Source organism: Homo sapiens, chromosome 5, assembly GCF_000001405.40.
Source record: "Homo sapiens chromosome 5, GRCh38.p14 Primary Assembly".
Classification (NCBI taxonomy): domain Eukaryota; kingdom Metazoa; phylum Chordata; class Mammalia; order Primates; family Hominidae; genus Homo; species Homo sapiens.
The window spans coordinates 168,659,465-168,680,563 of NC_000005.10; the positions used below are offsets into that span (position 1 = coordinate 168,659,465).

At 48.5% G+C, this 21,099-nt stretch overlaps 1 protein-coding gene across 3 annotated transcripts in view, besides 1 other annotated feature; it reads right to left on the reverse strand.

The window, feature by feature from the left end:
- Positions 2,276-21,099, reverse strand: part of SLIT3 (slit guidance ligand 3) — a 639,400-nt gene continuing 620,576 nt past the window's right edge. For all 3 annotated transcript variants that reach the window (NM_003062.4, NM_001271946.2, XM_017009779.1), the window contains exons 33-36: positions 13,713-13,867; positions 11,734-12,019; positions 10,319-10,527; positions 2,276-7,225 (exon numbers count right to left, since the gene is read on the reverse strand). In NM_003062.4, the coding sequence (NP_003053.2) occupies positions 6,990-7,225; positions 10,319-10,527; positions 11,734-12,019; positions 13,713-13,867 (886 nt within the window). In that variant the 3' untranslated portion in view covers positions 2,276-6,989. The remainder of the gene's footprint in view (positions 7,226-10,318; positions 10,528-11,733; positions 12,020-13,712; positions 13,868-21,099) is intronic.
- Positions 11,870-12,445: an enhancer, noted in NCBI's record as "H3K4me1 hESC enhancer chr5:168098339-168098914 (GRCh37/hg19 assembly coordinates)". NCBI's record gives its function as "activates a minimal SCP1, AML or CMV promoter by ChIP-STARR-seq in primed H9 embryonic stem cells {active_cell/tissue: H9 hESC(primed)}" and the evidence as "EXISTENCE:reporter gene assay evidence [ECO:0000049][PMID:30033119]".

Consider the following 21,099-nt stretch of genomic DNA (forward strand, 5'->3'; position numbering starts at 1 on the left):
GGTAGAGTTCAGGAAATAGAAGCATAGCATTTTTATTTATCCTGTTCTCTATTTCTCTGTCAGCAGCAGGTCCAAAGGTGAGTGTCACATGCTCTGCCATACTTTATGTTGCCTGAGCATATTAAATCCAGGATCCACTGCTCTGTGTCCATTTTCAGCGACCAAGTGGTAAGAACAAAGAATGGCAGGAAGGATCATGGTGGTCCCCCATTGCCAGAAATGTCTTGGTCTTAGTTTCCCATCAACAGTGGTGCTCTGGCTGGGCGTGGTGGCTCACGCTTGTAATCCCAGCACTTTGGGAGGCCAAGCCAGGTGGATCACCTGAGGTCAGGAGTTCGGGACCAGCCTGGCCAATATGGTGAAACCCCATCTCTACTAAAAGTACAAAATTTAGCTGGGCGTGGTGGCAGGCACCTGTAATCCCAGCTATGTGGGAAGCTGAGGCAGGAGAGTCGCTTGAACCTGGGAGGTGGCGGTTTCAGTGAGCTGAGATCGCACCACTGCACTCCACCCTGGGCAATGAGAGCGAAACTCTGTCTCAAAACAACAACAACAACAAAAACCAATGGTATTCTAAATACAGGTATAGACCACCAGCCTGCCGTGTATTCCAACCAAGGCATCCTGAGAAGTTCACTATTTGTTGCCTATTTAGCACTCCAACCTGCTTCTTTCCTTGTGAGTGATTCCACCCAGGTATTTCAGGGAAAGGTCTGATTTGGCTAAGCCAGGGTTTCTCAATCTTAGCACTATGAACATCTTGGGCAGGATAATTCTTTGTTGTCAAGGAGCTGTCCTGTATATTGTAGGATGTTTAGCAGCACCCCTGGTCTCTACCTACTAGATGCTAATAGCACCCTGTGTCCCAGTTATACAATCAAAAATATCTGCAGACACTGCCAGATGTCTCCTGGGTGGGGTCAACACCTCTCCCAGTTGAGAACCTCTGCTATCGATTGATATAATAGGGAATTTGAGATAGAGGGATACACATCTAGGTCCCAAACCTGGGAGGAGGGGCTCCTGGCATAAACATGGGAGATGGACACTGTAGGTTTCTTGGCAGTAGCTCCTCCTGGCAGGAAAATCCAGGCTGTCTGACATGGTGTGTGTCAGTGCAGAATCCACTCCCTACCTATTTCAGATAAATGCACACTAAAATGTATAAAACTATACAAGGGCATCTTTGCTGGAGGCTTAGGGCCCCCAGTCAGTGTGACCTTGTCTTGCTCAGGGAGACCTGGGGGAAGAAGGAACAACCGGCTGGGGGCCACAGAGTCTAGCCCCTTTTTTAGCACCTGGTGCATCTGCTGCCCACTAGTGTCTTGCTCTCAGAGGGGTCTCCACAGGGCAGATGGAAGGCCATCTGCCAGGGAAGTGAGGATGACCTCCAGCCAGCCAGTGGCAGCCTCCAGACCCTTAGCAATCCTCCTTCTAAAAGTGCATAGCCCCTTGAGGATGCCCCAGGGCTGAGAGGCTGAGAGCCCTGCTTGCCCCTCCCCTCCCTCTCATGCTGTCTTGCCCAGGCCATCCTCTCTGGCTTCCTAAGTTGCTCGGGCTGCCTGCCTCCCTCGGATGACACCCACACAAAGCAAATATCTAGTGAGTACCGCAGGGCCAGGTTACTTCCCCTTCCATTTCTTGGTATTTGCCCCACCCCATGTCCCAATTCCTTAGGGAGGCCTTCTTGACCTCACTGCATGAAGCACCCACCCAGCTATTCTGGAGTGTCTCCTCTTCTTTATTTGTGGAAGTGAACTTATCACTATCGGGTGTTATCTTTATTTGTTGATTGGCACAAACCCCCTCAGTTAAACTCCAGGAGAACAAGGACTTGGTCTTGATCATCTTTGGAGTCCTCAAAGCGTAGAACAGTACCTGGCACATAGTAGATGCTCAATAAATACTTGTTGAAGGAACTGATAAAGGAGAAATTTAATTAGGCATTGGAGTCCTATAAGGAGGAATATTCCTTCACATATCAGTAGGGTGTTCTCTTCCTCTGAACTGTAGTGGCTTTCTTCCCCATGACCCTTGGCACCTTCTGTGGCCATAGGGACCACATCCCCTGCTGACCCTAAGCTGTGTGTTGGGTCGTCTCTTCAATGGTTCTGGTGAACTCTGGATCCATTTTTCTTACTTCATGATCCAAGAAACTGATTCTTTGATCTAATTCCACACCAGACTTTCCCCAGACCCCATGAATGCAGTCATCTTTGTTCCAGGGGGTTTGAAAATCAGGGGTAAAAATAAAGCAGACACCGTGGAGCAGGGCTGAGTTATGGTAGTCATGAGAGCATCTGATAGCTCCTCTGTGACTCATCCATTTATTTTAATGACATCTGAATATGACAGTATATTGAAAAAAGAATGCATGTTATTTATTCCATACTGGGGAAGTGCCACTATAACATTGTTTTAAAAAATCTTCAAAAATTTCCTATTAGAACCTATCATTGAATTAGAAAAGCAAGCTTTGCCAAATGCCTGATTATGCCTTTACTGGTCCTGCTAGCTGGCATGTTTCACCAACTTTTCCCTAGTGTTTCCTTTGGCACTGTTGAGCCCACACTACAAAACATGAACAAGTCCCACAAAACCACACTATGCCCTCTGCTTCCCCATCATGTGGGGACCATCTGCCTGGACATCCACTGTGGGGTAGCAGGAAGAACTTTGGCCTGGGTGGACACATGGGGTTAATTATCTGTGTGTCTTTGGTCTATGATCACCGCATTCTTCCATTTGTTCGACCCTCAGTTTTCCTGCCTACCAGTAATGCCCTATGACTCCTCCAGCTCTGGTATCTGGGATCTTGAGTCTGAGGGGCAGGTCACTTGTTGCTATGGGCTTCTGCTCCCAGCAAAGGCAGTGGGTGACTGCTTGACTTTAGGGTTCAGTCTGGCAATAGCTTTGTTTCTGGTGAAGGGAAAGGTTAGATCATCCTGGTCCTGGCCTTTCCTGAAGGTCACCCTGGGGCTCTTTTCCCCCACCTTTTTTTTCCCTCTGAGCTTGGGAGTTATCCCTCTTCTTGCCCTTCTTCTCATCTTTTTGAAGCATCAGACTTGAGTTCCTTGCTATGAGATTGAAAAGGCAAAACTGTCTTCTAACAAGGGCCTTTTGGCATGTCCATAACAGCAACAACAACAGTAATAATAACAACAGCATCTTACATTTAAGGTTTTTAGTTTACACTTTACAAAGAACTTTTAAATACATAATCTCATCGGCCATCGTACGGCCCCTTGGCTGAGTTGAAGAGAACTTCTTTTCCCTTTCCTGAATCCTGCTCAGGGGGGACACAGCTTGAGCGGCCTCTTCTGCCCACGTACATTGCCACACAAACACTGAACCACACTTTTTCAGGAGCAAATTAACTGAACTCTTCCTGCCTCATGGAATGTCCTGTTTCTAGAATGTGACTGCTCAAGGAGAGAGCGTTTTAATCATCATTTGTTAGAGGAGCCTCATTTCGGGGAGAATTTTCTTAATGGTCCTTGCATTTGGCATTTCTTAAAGTCAGGGCTTCCAAACTTGAGGGAGAAGGCTCAAAATTATAAGGGACAGACCTGGCCCTTTTGCTGTCTTGGTTGATGGGGGCTGGATTCAGGATTGGGCCCAGGGTGATGAGCAGAGGGAGGTCTCAGGTTCCTTGGGGAGGCAGAGGGAAAGCTGGCAGCCTGGTGACTCCTCCCAGGAAGCCAGTGACCCTCGGTGGGGCTCTTGAGATGGCAGGCTGAGTAGGCTCTGGGCTGGGTGGGGAGAGGCTAGCAGGGGCATTGGTGGTGGGATAAGGCTCAGATCCACCTGCCTAGGGGGAGAGGGGGGATGGGGCAATGGAGGTGGGGATGGGGAAATGGAGGTTGGGAAGGGTGTTGGGCAGATCCCAGGATCCTCTTCAAGAGCAGAGCTTCTAAGCTACCATAGACATTTGTGATCCATCTGGCCGGCAGTGTTTTCTAGCCACAGAGTAAACCACAGGGAGCTCTCAAGTCCATTTTGGGTGACAGCTCTGTCTCCTCTTTCAGGCCTTTATGCTGCCACAGCTCTCTTCCTAAACCAGAGCTTGTCTTGCTCTTCCCTTCCTCAAACAACCCTGCTGGCACCTGTGGCCCAGTTTAGCATGCACAGCTCTTTGTGGTCAAAACCCTACCTTCCTACCTACCCCATTTCTCTCTGCTCCTCAGTGTGCTTCCCATACTCTTGCCACCCTAGATTTTGACTCTTCCCCAAACAAGCCAGGCCTGGCCATATCTCATTGCTTTTTAAAAGGCCACTCCCAGGAAAGTTCAATTCCCTTTCTCACTCTGGCAAACTCCTATTCATCCTTAAAGACCTAGGACTAGAAGTTCCCTCCTCTGGACAGCCACTTCCATTGCTTGTATTGCCACTTAAGAGCTCCTTGTGTAATAAGGCAATTGTCCATTTTTATGACTGTTTTTGTCACAGGCTGTAGGATCCTCAAAGGCAGGATGTGTTTCTTTCCCATGAGAAGCAGGATGGTTTAGTGGTTGAGTGAGCAAGTTCTGGAGTCAGACAGCCTGGGCCCAGATCCTGGCTCTACGGTTTATTAGACATTTACTCTTGGGCAAGTTCTTTAACTTCTCTGTGTCTCAGTCTACTCAACTGTAAAATGAGTTAATAGTGTTTTAACTACATGGTTGTTTCAATAATTAAATGAATATATATCTATTTCACAATTAGAGTGGTATCTGATGTATAATAAAGTACTAAATAAATCTGCTATTATAATAATGTTTGAAACAGGCTGAGCATAGTGGCTCACACCTGTAATCCCAGCATTTTGGGAGACTGAGGCAGGAAGATGGCTTGAGCCTAGGAGGTTGAGGCTGCGGTGAGCTATGATCGAACCACTCTACTCCAGCCTGGGTGACAAAGCAAGACCTTGTCTCTAATGACAACAAAAAACAAAGCCATCATAAGGCACAGTACCTGGAACATAATGGAGATTTACATGCACATTTTTAGATAAATTCCTCAGCTATATCCCTCTCTCCCTTCTCTTCATCCCCTCCATCCCTTCCTTCTTTCCTTCCTTCCTTCTTCCAGTTGCCTCGTTTTCCTCCATCTTCCTTTCTTTTCTTTCTCCCTTCATTATTCCCTGCGTCTTTGGCCCACCATTGGTACTCACAGATCAACTAGGCTCCTCTAGGGAACCTGAGGGCTGAAAGGTCCAATGAATTCCAAACTCTTCTCCCTGAAACTCCTACAGTGGAAGCTCCTGGGGGAAGGAGGGATGGATGATAAGAGCCAGGGAGTTGGTGTGAACAGCTGAGCCCTGGAAGATATGTGGCTAACCTGATGGGGTGGAAGGGGGCAAATGGGAGTGAGGGAGGGAGAGACATGGAAAGAAACAGGGGCAGGGAAGTCCCCTTCAGGAATGGAGGCAGAGGCTGGATAGGCTGCCCTTGGTCACTTTCCCTAGATGCATAAGCCCTGGTCTCCAGAATCTTTCCAGATACTGCGGAGGGAGAAGGAGTGAGCAAGGCAGAACAAGAGCAGGAAAAAACATCATATTATTTCCTTTTCCGGCAGGGCTGCTCTGATGGATTTAAGCCGCCTGAATCACCTGTGCTCACCCATTCTAGAGGAAGAATCTCAAGCTTTGGGTCTGGACTTCTGGTCTGGCTCCTCCACTTATCTGGTGTGTGGCTTAAGGCAAGTTCCAGAGCCTGTGAGGGCCTAAACTTCCTTCTTAGTGAACCCAGCTCTACTCCCTTATCCTTCCCAGGGAGGCAGGGGTTGCATAGATAAAATAAGGTAAAGTTTGGATATGCATTGGAAAGTGTCACAGATGGGCAAGGAGTCTCTATCGTCATGCTGGTGACCTGGAGGATCAGGTGGCAGAGGCCTGTCTTACAACAAGAGCCTCCAAGAACCTTCCAGAGTTGGACATCTAGCGCTGTGGGCAGACTTGACTTGGCTCCCAGCCTTCCGCTTCCAAGAAGGGCTGACTACCTTCTCTACTGGGATACATTCCAATGAAAAATTACCTGGAAGGAGGAGAGAGGGCCAGTGCATGGGTCCTGAGGAGACACCATGATATTCTCTTCCCTCGCCTCCTCTAGGAAGACCCCTCTCCTGGGGAGGAGCAGGAAAAATAGCAGCTGTTTTAAAATTTGGTAAGACAGTTCCAAATGACACCTGTAGCAGACTTCAATAGTCAGTCCTCGATTGGAAGCCAGGGCCAGCCAGGAAGGAGAAGAGGGGTCCCCCAGTGGGTTCAGATACGGAAGCCAGGGCCACCCAGGAAGGAGAAGAGGGGTCCCCCAGTGGGTTCAGATACCCTGAAGGGGGGTCTGGGACAGACAGGGACAGCAATATTTTTGAGTGGCAGTGAGACTGAGAAGGCCAGGGCTCAGCAGCTTTTCCTGGAAGAACTGGGCATTTTGGGCACTGACATCCAGGACTCCGAAAAGCTGGGTAATTTTAGGGGAGGAAAAATAAAAGGGAGTTAAAAAACAAGAAACAAAGGTCTTTTCCTTCTCTCTCTTCCTCTTATTCCTTTTTCTGATCTCAATGAGCAGCTCTTGGTCTACTGCCGACATAATACCGTTTCATAAACATGAAAACATCTTCCTCCTTCCTCAGACAGGCTATCATTCTTTATTCTTATCCTTTTGTTTTAAAGCATTTTTATTAGTCTATTTTTTTCTTAAATTTTTAAACAGCTATTTTTAAAAACACAACAAATACACAACACAAAACTTGGTAAAAATAACTCACTATATGGTACATATACGCAGATGGTGTAATATATTTATATAATAAAAGATGAAAATAGTCACTTTCCATAATAAAAATAAGTTCTATTTTTTGTTTATTTTACAATATACTTAATATTCTCTTCTTCTTTACCTTCCTCTCCAGCTTCATTTCCTTCATGCTGAATCACCAGGGGGTCCCACATGGCTGTCCCAACTCCATCAAGCTGGAGTCCGAGAGGTGGCAGGCAGGCGGGCAGGGGCTTAGGAACACGCGAGGCAGCCGCACTCTAAGTGTCTCTCCACCTCTTCTACAAACGAGGAGCCGTCCGTGCACTGGAAGACGTATTTCCGCCGCTTGCTGCGGGTGGGCTGGCAGCACTGGGGCCCACAGCCCCCACGACATTCCATGATGGGCACCTTGGAGGCTGTGGCACATGATGCATAACCTTTCTGGCGGCGGATCACCTCTCGGACTACTTGTCCCAGGCACGGATTCTCTGCAGAGGGCATAGAAGTCAGGGCATTGGTGGTCTAGGTGGCCAGCAGGACCATGAGCAGTTCCCAGGTAGGCTGCTTTGAAATACTTGTGCTCTGAAGACTGTAAGAATTTATTCACTCATCCATCTGCCTACCCTCCCCTCCATCCACCCATCTATTTTACAAACAGGTGCCTTTCCTGTACCAGGCTCTCTGACAGGCTTACACCTAAGCCGTGAGGATATAATGATGACAAAAGCAGGCTTGGTCCCTTCCTTCAAGAAACCTAAAGTCAAAACTAAAACTAGATGACGCAAACTGATAGACTGTGGGCCAAATCCTGACCCCAGACCAATTTGGATCACCCTACATGTGCCTAAAAATTAATTAAATGTCAACATTCAAAAAGCAGGAGATTTCACCTGAAAATCTGGATTTCTGCCTTCCTTGAAAACAAGGAGGTCTGGCAGAGCTGAGCCTGCAACCCTGCACTGCAGTGATGGCTGAAGCTGAGTGCTTTAGATGGGGCAGGCAATCTCCAGTTTGCCCCAGTCACTACCACTCCCAATAGTCTGTCTCTCTTGGCCTAGAGTCTAGATACTATTTAAGTGAATATATTTAATAAAGAAACTGAGGTAGATGCTATAAAGAAAGGGAAGATGTTCATACAAGAACATACAGTATATGTTTTTGTATGCTATAAGACATTTGTATTCAAAAGGCATTTGACCTGGCCCAGGGGCCAGGGAGGCTTCTCTGGGAAATGAGCTGGAGTTGATATCTGAATAAGAAGCAGGTGTTGCGATGAGCTTTTCCAGAAGGCCTAGAAATAACTGCAGGCTGGGAAAGGGCACCCCTGTATCTGCTTAAACACTCTGGACCCTGACCCAGCTTTTCATTTCCACCCCTCTACTGTCCTCACTACAGTGGGAGAATGTCTGCAGCAAGGCACTTGAGGAAGGGAGCCATGACCCTTGACCCTTGACAAGCAAGTCACAGTTTCCGTGTCTGCAAAGTGGTAACACATTTACCTGTCCTTCCAGCAACTCCCAGGCTGTTACGGGCACCAGAGGCGATTGTGAAGGAGAAAGGGCTTTATGCATTTTAAAGCTTCAGGTGTTGTTAAAAGTCTTTAAAATTATGAGATTGTTAAAAGGATTAGAAAGAGGTTAATGACAATGTGTGCATGTGCATGTGTATAACATGGGGAGAGACAGGGAGTGCAGATGGGGCAACATGCTAATGACTGGGGTGAAGGGATTAAGCTGTTTATACTGTCCTGACAGTTTTTCTGTAAGTCTGAAATTATTTCAGAATAAGCTATTTAATAACATTTTAAAAATGAGTTTTGGTTAAGAATAGTATTTCGTGTAGGTATAAAATGTGGAAAAGTCCTCAAGGCACGGGGTGGACTGCCTGGGATCCTGGTGGCAGGGAGCAAGACTTCTCAGTGTCCATGCAGGAGAAAGATCCCCCAAGGTAAGACAACCATTTTAATATTAATATAATTTCCTTTGTTTAGGTCAGACCAAAGAACTGGCTTCTGCTGACCCAGTAAGGGCAAGAGGGTTGGATGGAGGCTGTGGAGCAATGCCATCAGCTTGGATACATATGCGAATCATTGCAAAATGCAGGTTCTGACTCAAAAGGGCTGGGGTGGGGCCTGGGAGCCCCAGGTGACTCCCAGGTGATGTCAGTGGTGCTGGTCAATGTCAGGGGGCCACTCTGAGTGGCTAGGGTTTCATTAGTTTTGAAGGCATGGCATCTCAAGGGCCAACAGCTGGAAAAGAGGAGAAAAGAACCATCCAGACTGCTCATGTGTTCTCCCTGCAGAGGTCCACTGAGGACCATTTTCTACACTTGTTTCATCTTTAAAAAGTCCATGCTTTAGAATCTTAACTTTGGCAGTATGAGTTATCTGCACTTTTGTCTTTTCTTGGAGACAGGGTCTGTCTCTGTCACCTGGGCTGGAGTGCAGTGGTGCATTCATTGCAGCTTCAAGCTCCTGAGCTCATGCAATCCTTGCACCTCGGCCTCCCAAAATGCTAGGATTCCAGGTGTGAGCCACCACTCCTGGCCCTATCTAGATGAGGAAGTGAACCACAAGTATGCTGCTCAATGTCATGCAGAGTTGAGACAGGCTCTCACTCTGTCACCCAGGTTGATCTTGGCTGACTGTAACCTCCGCCTCCTGGGTTCAAATGATTCTCTTGCCTCGCCTCCAGCATAGCTGGGATTACAGGCGACCGCCATGATGCCCAGCTAATTTTTGTATTTTTAGTAGAGACAGGGTTTCACCATGTTGGCCAGGATAGTCAAGGTCATGCAGATTCTAAATGACAGTTTGGCCTTCATCGTGACAATGTTGCTTCTGACTTTACATCTCAACATCTCACGTACTCCTCCCAACAACCCTATAAAGAAGCACAGTAGCTAGCCTCCAAGATTGCCCCCAGTGACTACCACCTTCTGGTATTGATGCCCTTTATGTGGTCCCCTCCCTCACTGAATGTACCTGACTGATGTAACCAATGCAATGTGGTGGAAATGATGGTGTGAGTGACTTCCAATTGTAGGTCATACAAGACAAGTGGCTTACTCTCTTCTGGACCATTCACTCTGGGACATGCCAGCTGCCCTGGCGCAAGGACCCTCAAAGAGCCTGTGTAGTGACTCATGCAGGGCAGAACTGGGACCTCCCGCCAACACCCAGCGCCATGGGAGTGCAGCACATTGGAAGCATATCCTGCTGCCTTGGGTTAGCCTACAGAGAACTGCAGCCATGGCTGTGTAGAATGCAACCCTGAGAGATCCCAGCTACGCTCTTTCTGAATTCCCAACCCACAGGAACAATGTAGGCTAAAAAAAATGTTTTTTGTGGTTTTGAACTGCTATGGTTTGGGGCTAAGTTGTTATGCAGCACTAGATAACTGATACAGGAAGGTATAGTATTGCCTCCGTTTTCAAGTTGAGGGAATTGAGGCTCAGAAAGTGACTGAACCAAGGTCATGCAGCCTTTAAGTGGCACAGCCAGAACTGGAACTGAGGTGATCTGGATGTGAAGTCCAACTCTGACCCCCACTTCCTCCCTCCCACAGGCACAGTAGACCCACCTTGTTGGCAGTGCTCGCCGCTAAAGCCGGGCTGGCACAGGCAGTAGGGCTCCCCTTGGTCTGAGATGTGGCACTGCCCATGGTGACACTTGAAGGCTGAGCAGGCATTGGCAGAGTCATTCTTGTTGTCACACAAGTCCCCTCCATAGCCCTCGGCACACTTGCACATGTATGAGGTCCCAGTTGCCACACATTTTCCATGGTGGCATCTAGGGGCAGAGAGGAGGATGAGAAGGGAACTGGATCAGAGTTGGTGCTGCTGGGGACTCCCTCTGTCCACCCAGCCAGGGACCAGGGGACCCGGAGCTGAGTACAGTCCAATAGCTTTCTCTGTTTCCTAGGCTGAGCATCTCTTTTCTTAACCACCTTGGTTCCCCTGGCCAACCAGCCAGAAGCCTGCGAGTGTCACCCAGTGTCCACTGTGAGCTGTGACCACAGCAGAGGCTGGCTTGCTGATTTACACACACACCTCATGCAGCCAAGTAGCAAACAACTGCTTGAAAGAATCTAGCCATTCTCTAAACATTTTAATTGCTTTACCATCTTAAATAAGAATTACTACCACCCCACTACTACCAGCAGGTACCACTGGCTATGTACCAGGAATTGTGTTAAGTGCTTTACACCCAGTATTGCTCTGAATTTCCATCATAACCTCTTGTCTGCTGCTCCTATGCAGTACATTTCACCCATGGAAAAAAATGAAGGTAAAGCCTATATTCTGAATCATGATGCACCACTGCCCCTATTGAGATGACATGCAGAGCCAGGATCCGTATTATAGAGTCAAACACACACACACATATGCTCAAGAGCAACACAAGAAGCTCAAACCCTGTATAGCTGTCCCTTATTCCTGATCCAAAAAATCATTTCCTGACTGGTTTAGCCAACCACATTTCCAGTGTTGGCTCTGGTGTTAGTTTTGGCTGATTCAGGTTTCTTAACACTGACAGTACTGGATCTCCTATATTTAGCATGAGGCCTGGCACGTAGTAGGACCTCAGTAAATCTTTGTTGAATGAGTAGTTGCTTAAACTATTAAATGTGGTTTGATGTGTGGTTATATACACCTGGTGCCTTGCACAGGCTGAGTCTGCCCATGTGGGTGCCTTTTTTAATTCCCACAGAGACAGTGGGGGCTCACTGTGGCTCTGGACAGGTTCTAAAGGCCACCTGGCAGAGACTAGTGTTTTGAGCAGGGCCCTCTTATGCTGATCCCTCCAAGCAGGTCTGGCTGCTCAGATGTGTAAGCTCAGCCTCTTGACCTCTTAAGCAGTTACACTTACACAGATCCTATCTGCGGTCTGACTGCAACTCCTCCAGCCTCCAGTAGTGCCTATTTCTCAGGTGGGGTAGGGACTGAGGCCATTCTGGGAGCTCGAGCACACAGCCAGGGCTCCTGGGACACTGACCTGTGGCCGAGGCAGGGGTCCCGGGCCTCCTGATCGCAGAGTGGGCCGGTCCAGCCTGGGCGGCACTCGCACACCACGCTGTCCTTCTCCACGGAGCGGCACAGGCCGTGCTTGCACACGGTGCAGGACTTGCAGCCTGGTGACACCCCCAGGGACTGTGGTGGGAGGGCCTTGAAGTCCTGCAGCTCGTTGTTGATGCGCACCTCATGGATGCATCCGTGGAAGCCGCCTAGAGGCCGGTCCGTGCCCTGGCGCAAGGCAGAGAGGCCGGTGGAGGTGGGGATGCCTGTGGGAGGGGAGCCAGGACAGTGGCCTGAAGACCCTCCCCTGCCACCCTGCTGTCCTCAGAGCGAAAAAGCACTTTTCACACATTCATGGCCAGAACTCTGGGCCTCTGCTGTTCAAACGAGGTTAACGGGCCAAAACCTCGGACCTCCTCCATACAGGGACGTGCATCCTTGGTCCTGCACTGGGACTCCTTAAAAAAACGTGAATTTGTTGCCAATATGTAATATTAGAAAATTTCCCATAAAAATTTGTATCTTGGACTTCCCTAGAAAAAATGAGATGATCTGGTCACCCATTGCCCTATGATCCCACTGGCTGAACTGAGGAGACCGTTCCCCCCAATAGGCAAGTGCACCAAATAACCTGCTGTCCCCACCAGGCTCCTCAGCCCTTTGATCCAGGCCTCACAAGAGAATCCAGGGCAGGTGAGCTACAGCTGAGGAGATAAGATAAGGTTTTGGGGAGCTGCTTGATCAACGAAACTTTGGGGTTCAGGGTTTTTAGACCAGTTTGCTGCCTTATGTGCGGTGTACCCCTCTTCTCAGGATCTTCAAGAGACTGTTAGTAAAGACCTAATTTGCTTTTCAATAATTTGTATTTTCGCTCCCCTTCTACACCATTCCCTGCCCACCTTCTATAGTTGAGAGCCTGGGACTGGCCTGGAAGCAGGGCACCCAGTTCCGTTCTGGGTGCACCTGGAGCAGGTGGGGCACAGGGCACGGTCCTCCTCCAGGGATAAGTGGTGTCCCTTCTGGGGCTGCCCTCGGCACAGAGCTTTCCCTGGCCTCCCTACATCTGAACCACCCATTAACAACACCCTCTTCTGGGCCCGTGCTAGTCTCTGCAGGTGGACTCTGGGTAAAGTCTTGGGAATCTTAGGATTGAACGAGCAGTTTTGGTAGCTTTTTTTACACTTAACCCCTTGAGAACTATCAGTGCAGGGGCTGCATTTCAGGCCCAGAGTCTGCCTAACTGATGGCTACTTTTTTGTGTTTTGTTGTTGTTTTAAAGACAAGGTCTCACTCTGTCACCCAGGTTGCAGGGCAGTGGCACAATCATGGCTCACTGCAGCCCCAACCTCCCAGGCTCAAGCAATCCCCCTGCCTCACCCTCCAAAGTAGCTGGGACTACAGGTGCTCACTACTGTGCCCAGCTAATTTAAATATTTTGTAGAGATGAGGTCTCACTGTGTTGCCTAGGCTGGCCTCCAACTCCTGGGCTCAAGTGATCCTCCCACCTCAGCCTCCCAAAGTGTTGGGATTACAGGTGTGAGCCACTGCACCTGGCCTACTTCCATTTTTGGCCTTTGATTTTAATCTCAAATTCTTCTACATTCATTAATTGAACCTCCGAGGGTTTGAGGAGGTGGCAGAGCAGAGGGAATATGACCTGAAGCTGGCAGACTTCAGCAGAGCCTAGACCCTGCTTCCATCTCCTGCCTCCCCCTTCTCACCCTTGCCCGTCACAACGTGTAGTTTCCAGGAGTCCTGTTCTCTTTCCTTTCCAAGCACCTGTCCCACATTCTCTTTCCTCCATGGCCTGGCTAGTGCTTATTCACCTTTTAGAGATCAGCTTCGTTGTCCCTTCCTCCAGGAAGCCTTCCCTGATTGGCTTTGGCAGTGGCCTGGGTTTCTGTACTGGAGCACAGAGGGCCAGAGGGAGGTAGAGGTGGTAGGGAAAGAGGGCATTACCTCCAAGGTAGAGGGGGCTGTTGATGCCCACTGCTGGCTGCTTCTGGAGCTTCCCCAGGCTCTTTGGAGTTCCTTTGTCCACTACTAGGTTCAGGGTCTGGTTTAGCGTCACCAGCTCCACACTGTGAAACTGCCCATCATTCACTGTCTCCACACTGGCCAGTAGAGAAGGGGAGAAAGCCGGAGAGTTCACTAAGGGCCTTCCATGGCTGGGCCCTGTGCTGTGGACTTGACCTGCATTGCTTACATTTTGTTTTACTTTTTATTTGGAAATAACTTTAAACTTACATAAGTTGCAAAAATAAAAACAGTACAGAAGATGCTTATTACCCAGTTTCTCCCATTACTCCAATGTGCTTATGGTTTTCTCTGTGCATTTTATGTATACACACACACATTTCTGAACCATTTAAAGGTAAGTTACATACATTACAGCCCTTTATCCTTAGATACCTCAGTGTGCATTTCCTAAGGACAGAGATATTCTCTTATATAAGCACAGTGCAGTTGTCAACTTTGGTGAATTTAACATGGATACCACACTGTTATCTAGTCTATTATCTGTATTCCAGTTCTGCATTGGACCCAATACTGTCCTTTACAGCATTTATTTCCTTCCAGTCCAAGATTTAGTCTAGGGTCAGGTATTGCATTTGGCTATCATTATTTGTATTCTTTTCTATTATTTCATAGAGTTAAGCAAACTCCATTCCCAGACCACCTTCTCAATCCTGCTCTATCTGCATGCTGCCTGGACCACTATTTACTCAACACGCTTGTTCTTTTCAATTGCCCAATTTCCCCCTTAAATATCAGCAAGGATAAAGGTTAGCATTGTTCTAAAAAATAGTTTTGATGTGGTTTTTATATTTTTTTCTAGTACATATAAAACAAACTCTCTCACAGTTAAAATTTCAATAGTTTGCTATTGTCCCCCCTAAGGTCACCTCAGGTACCACCAGTGGTATGCATGCCACTTTTGGGGAAATACTGCCTTATAATACTCATGCTAGGTAAGTTTGTTATCTCCACTACAGAAATGAGGAAACGGTAGCTCAGGGAGGCTAAGGAATTTACCTAAGGCACCACAGTTGGTAAGACATAGAGCAAGGATTTGAACTGAGGTTCAGGTCGAATGTCCCTAATCTGAAAAGCTCCAAAAGCCCACACTTTTTGAGTACCCACATGATGCTTGAAGGAAATGCTCATTAGAAGATTTTGGATTTCAGATTTTCGGATTAGAGATGCTGAACCAGCATAATGCAAGTATTCAACACTTTGGGTCCCAAATGTTTTGGTTATGGGATATTCACTTTTTTTTTTTTTTTTTTTTGAGATGGAGTCTCACTCTGTCGCCCAGGCTGGAGTGCAGTAGCATGATCTTGGCTCACTGCAACCTCTGCCTGCTGGGTTCAAGCAATTCTCCTGCCTCGGCCTCCTAAGTAGCTGGGATTACAGGCTCATGCCACCACAAACAGCTAATTTTATGTTTTTAGTAGAGATGGGGTTTTCACCATGTTGGCCAGGCTGGTCTTGAACTCCTGACCTCACGTGATCCACTTGCCTCGGCCTCCCAAACTGCTGGGATTACAGGCATGAACCACCGTGCCTGGCTGGTTATGGGATATTCAGTGTGCACATCCTACTTGCCCATGCTGTCTCTAACAGGGCCAAGAGCCACTCACCGAGGGCCCAGATGAGCCAGACATGGTGCTAAGTGGTTCACTTATTTGAACCTTACAATAATTCTATGAAGTGGGTGCCAGATATCCTATTTCACAGATGAAGACACCGAGGCCCAGAGAGGTTAAGTGATTTACCTGAGGTCACCCAGCTAGTACAGGCAAGAGACAGAATTTGTAGGCAACACTTTTGACTCCCAAATTGTGCTCTTTCCAGCGCTCCACCCTCGGCGGGGGCTGGGAGGGAACAGTGGTGGGAGATGATGGGAGTTGGGGAATGTGACACCTCTTCCTTCCCTGAAGCTCTCTGAGGAGTAGACTGAGCTCTGTCTTATCTATTCAGGTATCAGGGATACATATGGAGGCTTCCTCTCTCCTTGAATTCTCCCTGACAAATCCTTGTTGGCTCCAACAAGAGGATCCCAGCAGGGGGTGGCACTGATTAGGCAGGCAGGGACCATTTCAGTGACTAACTCAGATTTAGAAATCTCAGCAGCCAAAAAGGCAAGAGAAATGCTTGGGAGAAGACAGGCTAAATTGGGGTATACTGAAGAAAACAGAGTCCATTCTAGCCCCTTACTGCTGGATGGAACCATAACCAACCATAGGAATAGAACATCCGGTCTCAGTTTCCTCATCTGTAAAAGGGGGATAATAACCTCACAGAACTATTGTGATGTTCAAATAAAATAAGAGAGGGTACGTGAAAGTGCTTTGTAACCAGGCATGCTGGCATGTGCCTGTATCACTAGTTACTTGACAAGCTGGGAGGTTGAGGCAGGAAGACCACTTGAGCCCAGGTGTTCAAGTTCAGCCTGGGAAACATAGCACGACCCCTATTTCTTAAAAAACAACAACAACAAAAGAGCGCTTTGTCAATTACTGGGAAAATGTGAGCAGTTATTTTAGTGTTAGAAGACTAACAAGGACCATTGCCTGCAAAGCTAGTGATCCCTGTTCTAGTGCTGATCCCTGGGAGAAAGTGATGGCAGAGGACATGCAGGAGCCCAGGACCCACTCAAATCCATTGGGAAATCTCTCCTCCCACTCATTCATCCAACTATCCAACCATCCATTCAACCATCTATACTTCCTTTCCATCTATTCTACCTATTCATCCATCCACCCTCCTCTCCATCCATCCACCTATCCATCTCTCCACCCACCCACCTACTTATTTATCTACCCTCTTCATCCATTCATCCCATCACATCCATCCATCCTTCATCTACCCACCCACCCTCCTCTGCATCCATCTACCTATCCATCTCTCTACCTACCCACCTACTTATTTATCTACTCTCTTCCATCCATCCATCCATCCATCCATCCATCCTTCATCTACCCTTCATCCGCCCACCCACCAAGTGTCTGCTATGGGCCACCTCGTCCTGGGTGCTGTGGATCAGTGACAAACAGGGAAGATAGGGTAACTGCACTCACAAAGCTTCCATTCCACTTTCCTTAGCCTTTCCTATAAAGTAAATGACAACTTATCAATGTAAGGTCTAGCCAAGAGATAGGGTAGTGGGAGGTGGAGTGGTGGGTAAAAGAGTCCACTGAGGAATCTGGTTTTTTGATGGGGAGCCAAAAAGCCCTATGAAGGTAGAGCTATTTCTATTTCAGAAGCCTCCAGCTGCACCAAGTTGCAAGCTGAGGGCAAGGCAGAGGCCTCTGATCCTACAGATGGGCTGGTAAAAGCAGGAAGGGGAGGGATGGCCCCGTGCAGAGACCATAAACTTGTGACCTTGAGCCCTCAGACAGTTTTCTAACCACACATGCAAAAATATGCAGGTATATCCCACAGCGTCCTAGAAATGGATGCTGTTTGGATGCAAATGAGCTCACCACCCTGGAGGTGTGTCAACATGCTGGACAGCCACCTGTCAGAAAGGGAGTTGTCAAGAGACTGCAGCTCAGGCACTCGCTTCCAACATTATGATTCAGGGAGTCAGGGCAGCTGTTTTCCCATTACAGACACACACACACAGACACAGCGAACACATACCACCTACTCCTGCCTGGCAGCTGGCTCCAGGCCCAACTCCTTCTTCCCTTCCTGCCATCCCAGGTGCTGGTGAATAGCCTGCAGGGGTACCCAGCCTGGAGACAGTGGTCTGGCAGAAGCCACAGATCAGAGAGGGCTGTGTGGTCACTGGCTCTTGCCCTAGACAAAGTGCTGGGTTCTGCAGTGCCCCAGTGCTGGGCTTCCTGGAGGGCCTCATCTGATGCCCACATGGGAGAATCCTAGGTAGGCTCGAGGTATAGCCTTCAGCCAGGTCATGCTTTGAGGAGAGAGATCTGGGATCACACTGGGCCTGCCAGCTGAGGGACCCTGGGCAAGTCATATCACTTCTGTAAGCCCCTGTTTCTGCTTCTATTCAATGAGTTTTATACTCATCTTACAACATTGGTTTTTTGGTTGTTTTTAGTAAGAGACAGGGGTCTTGCTCTGTTGCCCAGGATGGAATGTAGTGGTGCAATCATCGCTCACTGCAGCCTTGAACTCCTGGGCTCAAGCCATCCTCCCACCTTGGCCTCCCAAAGTGCTGGGGTTACAGGTCACTGCACCCGGCCTACACTGTTTTTTGTTTTGTTTTTGTTTTTTGAGATGGAGTCTCGCTCTGTTGCCCAGGCTGGAATACATTGGCGTGATCTCAGCTCACTGCAACCTCCACCTCCCTGGTTCAAGCAATTTTCCTGCCTCAGCTTCCCAAGTAGCTGGGATTACAGGCACCCACCACCATCCCCGGCTAATTTTTATATTTTTAGTAGAGATGGGGTTTTGCCATGTTGGCCAGGCTGTTCTTGAACTCCTGACCTCAAGTGATCCTCCTCCCTTGACCTCCCAAAGTGTTGGGATTATAGGCGTGAGCCAGCGTGCCTGGCCCTACACTGGTTTTAATGGGCAATACGTGGCCTGTGACACCTAGCAAGTGCTCAGTGAAAGGTGGAAATGATGACTCCTTGACCTTACTCTGGGCTTGCTGGAGCTGGGTGTGGCAGCAACTGGGGTGGGGGAGTAGGTTAGTGGGCCCTGGAAGAACCTGCCTATGGATTTGGCAAACTTACAGCCACCCAGGGCTTTGAGTGGCTTTGAGCCACTCAGGGCTCTGTATACTCCCACTGGCTCATTCCCATTTCTGAGGAGGGGACTCTTGTGAGTCCCATTTTAGGGAAGGAAGCTAAGTAACCCGATAGGGGCCACACTGCTAAGAAGTGCTGGAACTCAGGTTCAAAGTCAGGATTGCTTCCAAATCCAAACCTCCCATAATGTTATCTATGCCGGTAGGTGCTCATGGGTTAACAGGTCGCCTCTTCCTGGCAACTTTTAACCAGATCTCCTGGATATAATGGCTGAAGCCAGTGTTTTTCAAACTGTGGATCCCTGGAGGTTCAGGGTAGGCAGTGCTAAAGGCTCTGGCTTTTTACCAGCATCCCTAAGTCAGGATGCCTCCATTTCTACTTGCCTTAAAAAATAAAAAAATAAAATCATGGCCGGGCACGGTGGCTCACACCTGTAATCCTAGCACTTTGGGATTACATCCTTGAATTCTCCCTGACAAATCCCTGTTGGGAATTTGGGAGGCCGAGGCGGGCGGATCACAAGGTCAGGAGTTCGAGACCAGCCTGGCCAACATAGTGAAACCCCATCTCTACTAAAAATACAAAAAATTAGCCGGGCGTGGTGGCGGGTGCCTGTAGTCTCAGCTACTCGGGAGGCTGAGGCAGGAGAATCACCTGAACCCAGGAGGTGGAGGTTGCAGTGAGCCAAGATCGCGCTACTGCACTCCAGCCCGGGTGACAGAGTGAGACTCTGTCTCAAAAAAACAAACAAACAAACAAAAATCATTATTAAATCTTAGCCTTTGAAACAAAATAATGGGAAAATGGCTCTACTGTGACAAAAGTAGAGGAAAAAAAAGGAAAAAATAGTAACAACCTAAGGTTCACACTAAAAGAAATGATGATATAGTGGTCCCAAGCCCCAATGATTAGTCTCCTGGAGAGATATTTAAGGATTTCAGGGGAGAGAAGGGGGCTCTGAGGGTCTTCCTCATTATCTACTGGGCCAGACTGAACTGGTGCCAAGTGGGAGGTGGAGAGCTCTGGAGTTGTCAGGGTGGGGCTGGACGCATCCTGCCTGGAACTGGCATAACCACAGGCATTGGCCAGAGTGGCCCATGGCCTTTTTGCCTTTGCATTTATTTATTTTTTGAGATCGGGTCTTGCTCTCTCACCCAGGCTGCAGTGCGGTGGTGCAATCACAGCTCACTGCAGCCTTGACCTCCAGGGTTCAAGTGATCCTCCTGCCTCAGCCTCTCAAGTAGCTAGGACCATACATGTGCACTACTATGCTTGGGTAATTTTTTATTTTTTGCATAGATGGAGTCTGAATATGTTGCCCAGGATACTCTCAAACTCCTGGGCTCAGGCGATCCTCCTGCCTTGGCTTCCAAGAATGCTGGAGTTACAGGCGTGAGCCACCATGCCTGGCTTTCTTTTGCTTTTAATAATAATGGTGGATACGTGTTAATCCCTTAGTAGAGGCCAGGCATTGTGCTACCCTATGCTAAGCAGTTAACTTGCATTCTCTTATTTAATCCTAACAACCCCCAGGAAGGAGGCACACTTTTTCCTCCATTTTTCAAATAAAAGACTTAAGGGTCAGAGACTTTAGGTGTTCAGCCTGAAGTCTTAAGGGACTTGAGGGAGGAAGGGTTTGTTATTCCTCTAGGTGCTGGTTGCTCTAACCTGAATGCTGAGTCGTGACCACTAGGTGGCGATAGAGCCTCGCAGTAACAAAAAGTTCCTGGGATTTCGGGTAGGCAGCAAGCGGAGACCTCAGGCCCCACTGCAGCAACCCCCTACTCCTGTAGCACAGCCCACACTCTCTCGGCTCTGTCTTTCATGTCCCGGAGCCAGCACGGTGGGAGAGCTGGTTTGGGTGGAAAACTGACCCGGATTTAAATCCTAGCTCTGCCACTTACTGGGCTTCTAATATGAGGCTTCTCATCCCTAAAACAGGAGTGAGGATCCAATGAGACAAAGACCTTGGCAGTGGACAGGATTGTAGAAATCAAGACTCAGAGAGCATGCACTGCATTGCATTCAAAGAGCACACCCACGCGGTGTTTTAAAATGGCCAACACTCAAAAACTTAGATATCTCACATAGAAACCCCGGTGGTCCCGCTTCTCTTGATAATCTATATTCCCACATGGCAGTGTCTGCTGGAGCTGAGGTCAGCCACTCCTTTGGATGGGGCTCCACCCTTTAGGCTACTGTAGCCCCCACCACTCCCTATGGGGACTCCAGCCCATTTTCCCCATGTCTGTTACCTATGTGGCCATTTGGCCTTGCTGGCATGTGAGTCTGGCCTTCTCACAAGTCTCAGTGCCAAGGAACAGTGAAGTCTGTCCCCATTCTGGGGCAAGGAGGGGCTCAGGTGGGCTTCTCTGTGTATTTGCCCTGGGGCCTGGAATAGAATCTTCATGTGCCCTCATCACCATTTGTGATTATGGCTGTGCAGATGAACAACATCAGGCATGGACAGAATGGAGACCATGGAATCTAGCCTGCAGGTCCCTGCTGGGAACCCAGGCTGACATCCTCACTCTGAAGCTGGTCAGTGGGCCTTAGTGAGCCAAAAGCTGGTGGCTGCCAACTCCCCCAGTTAGAATAGCTTTGGCTGGGCTCCCTGA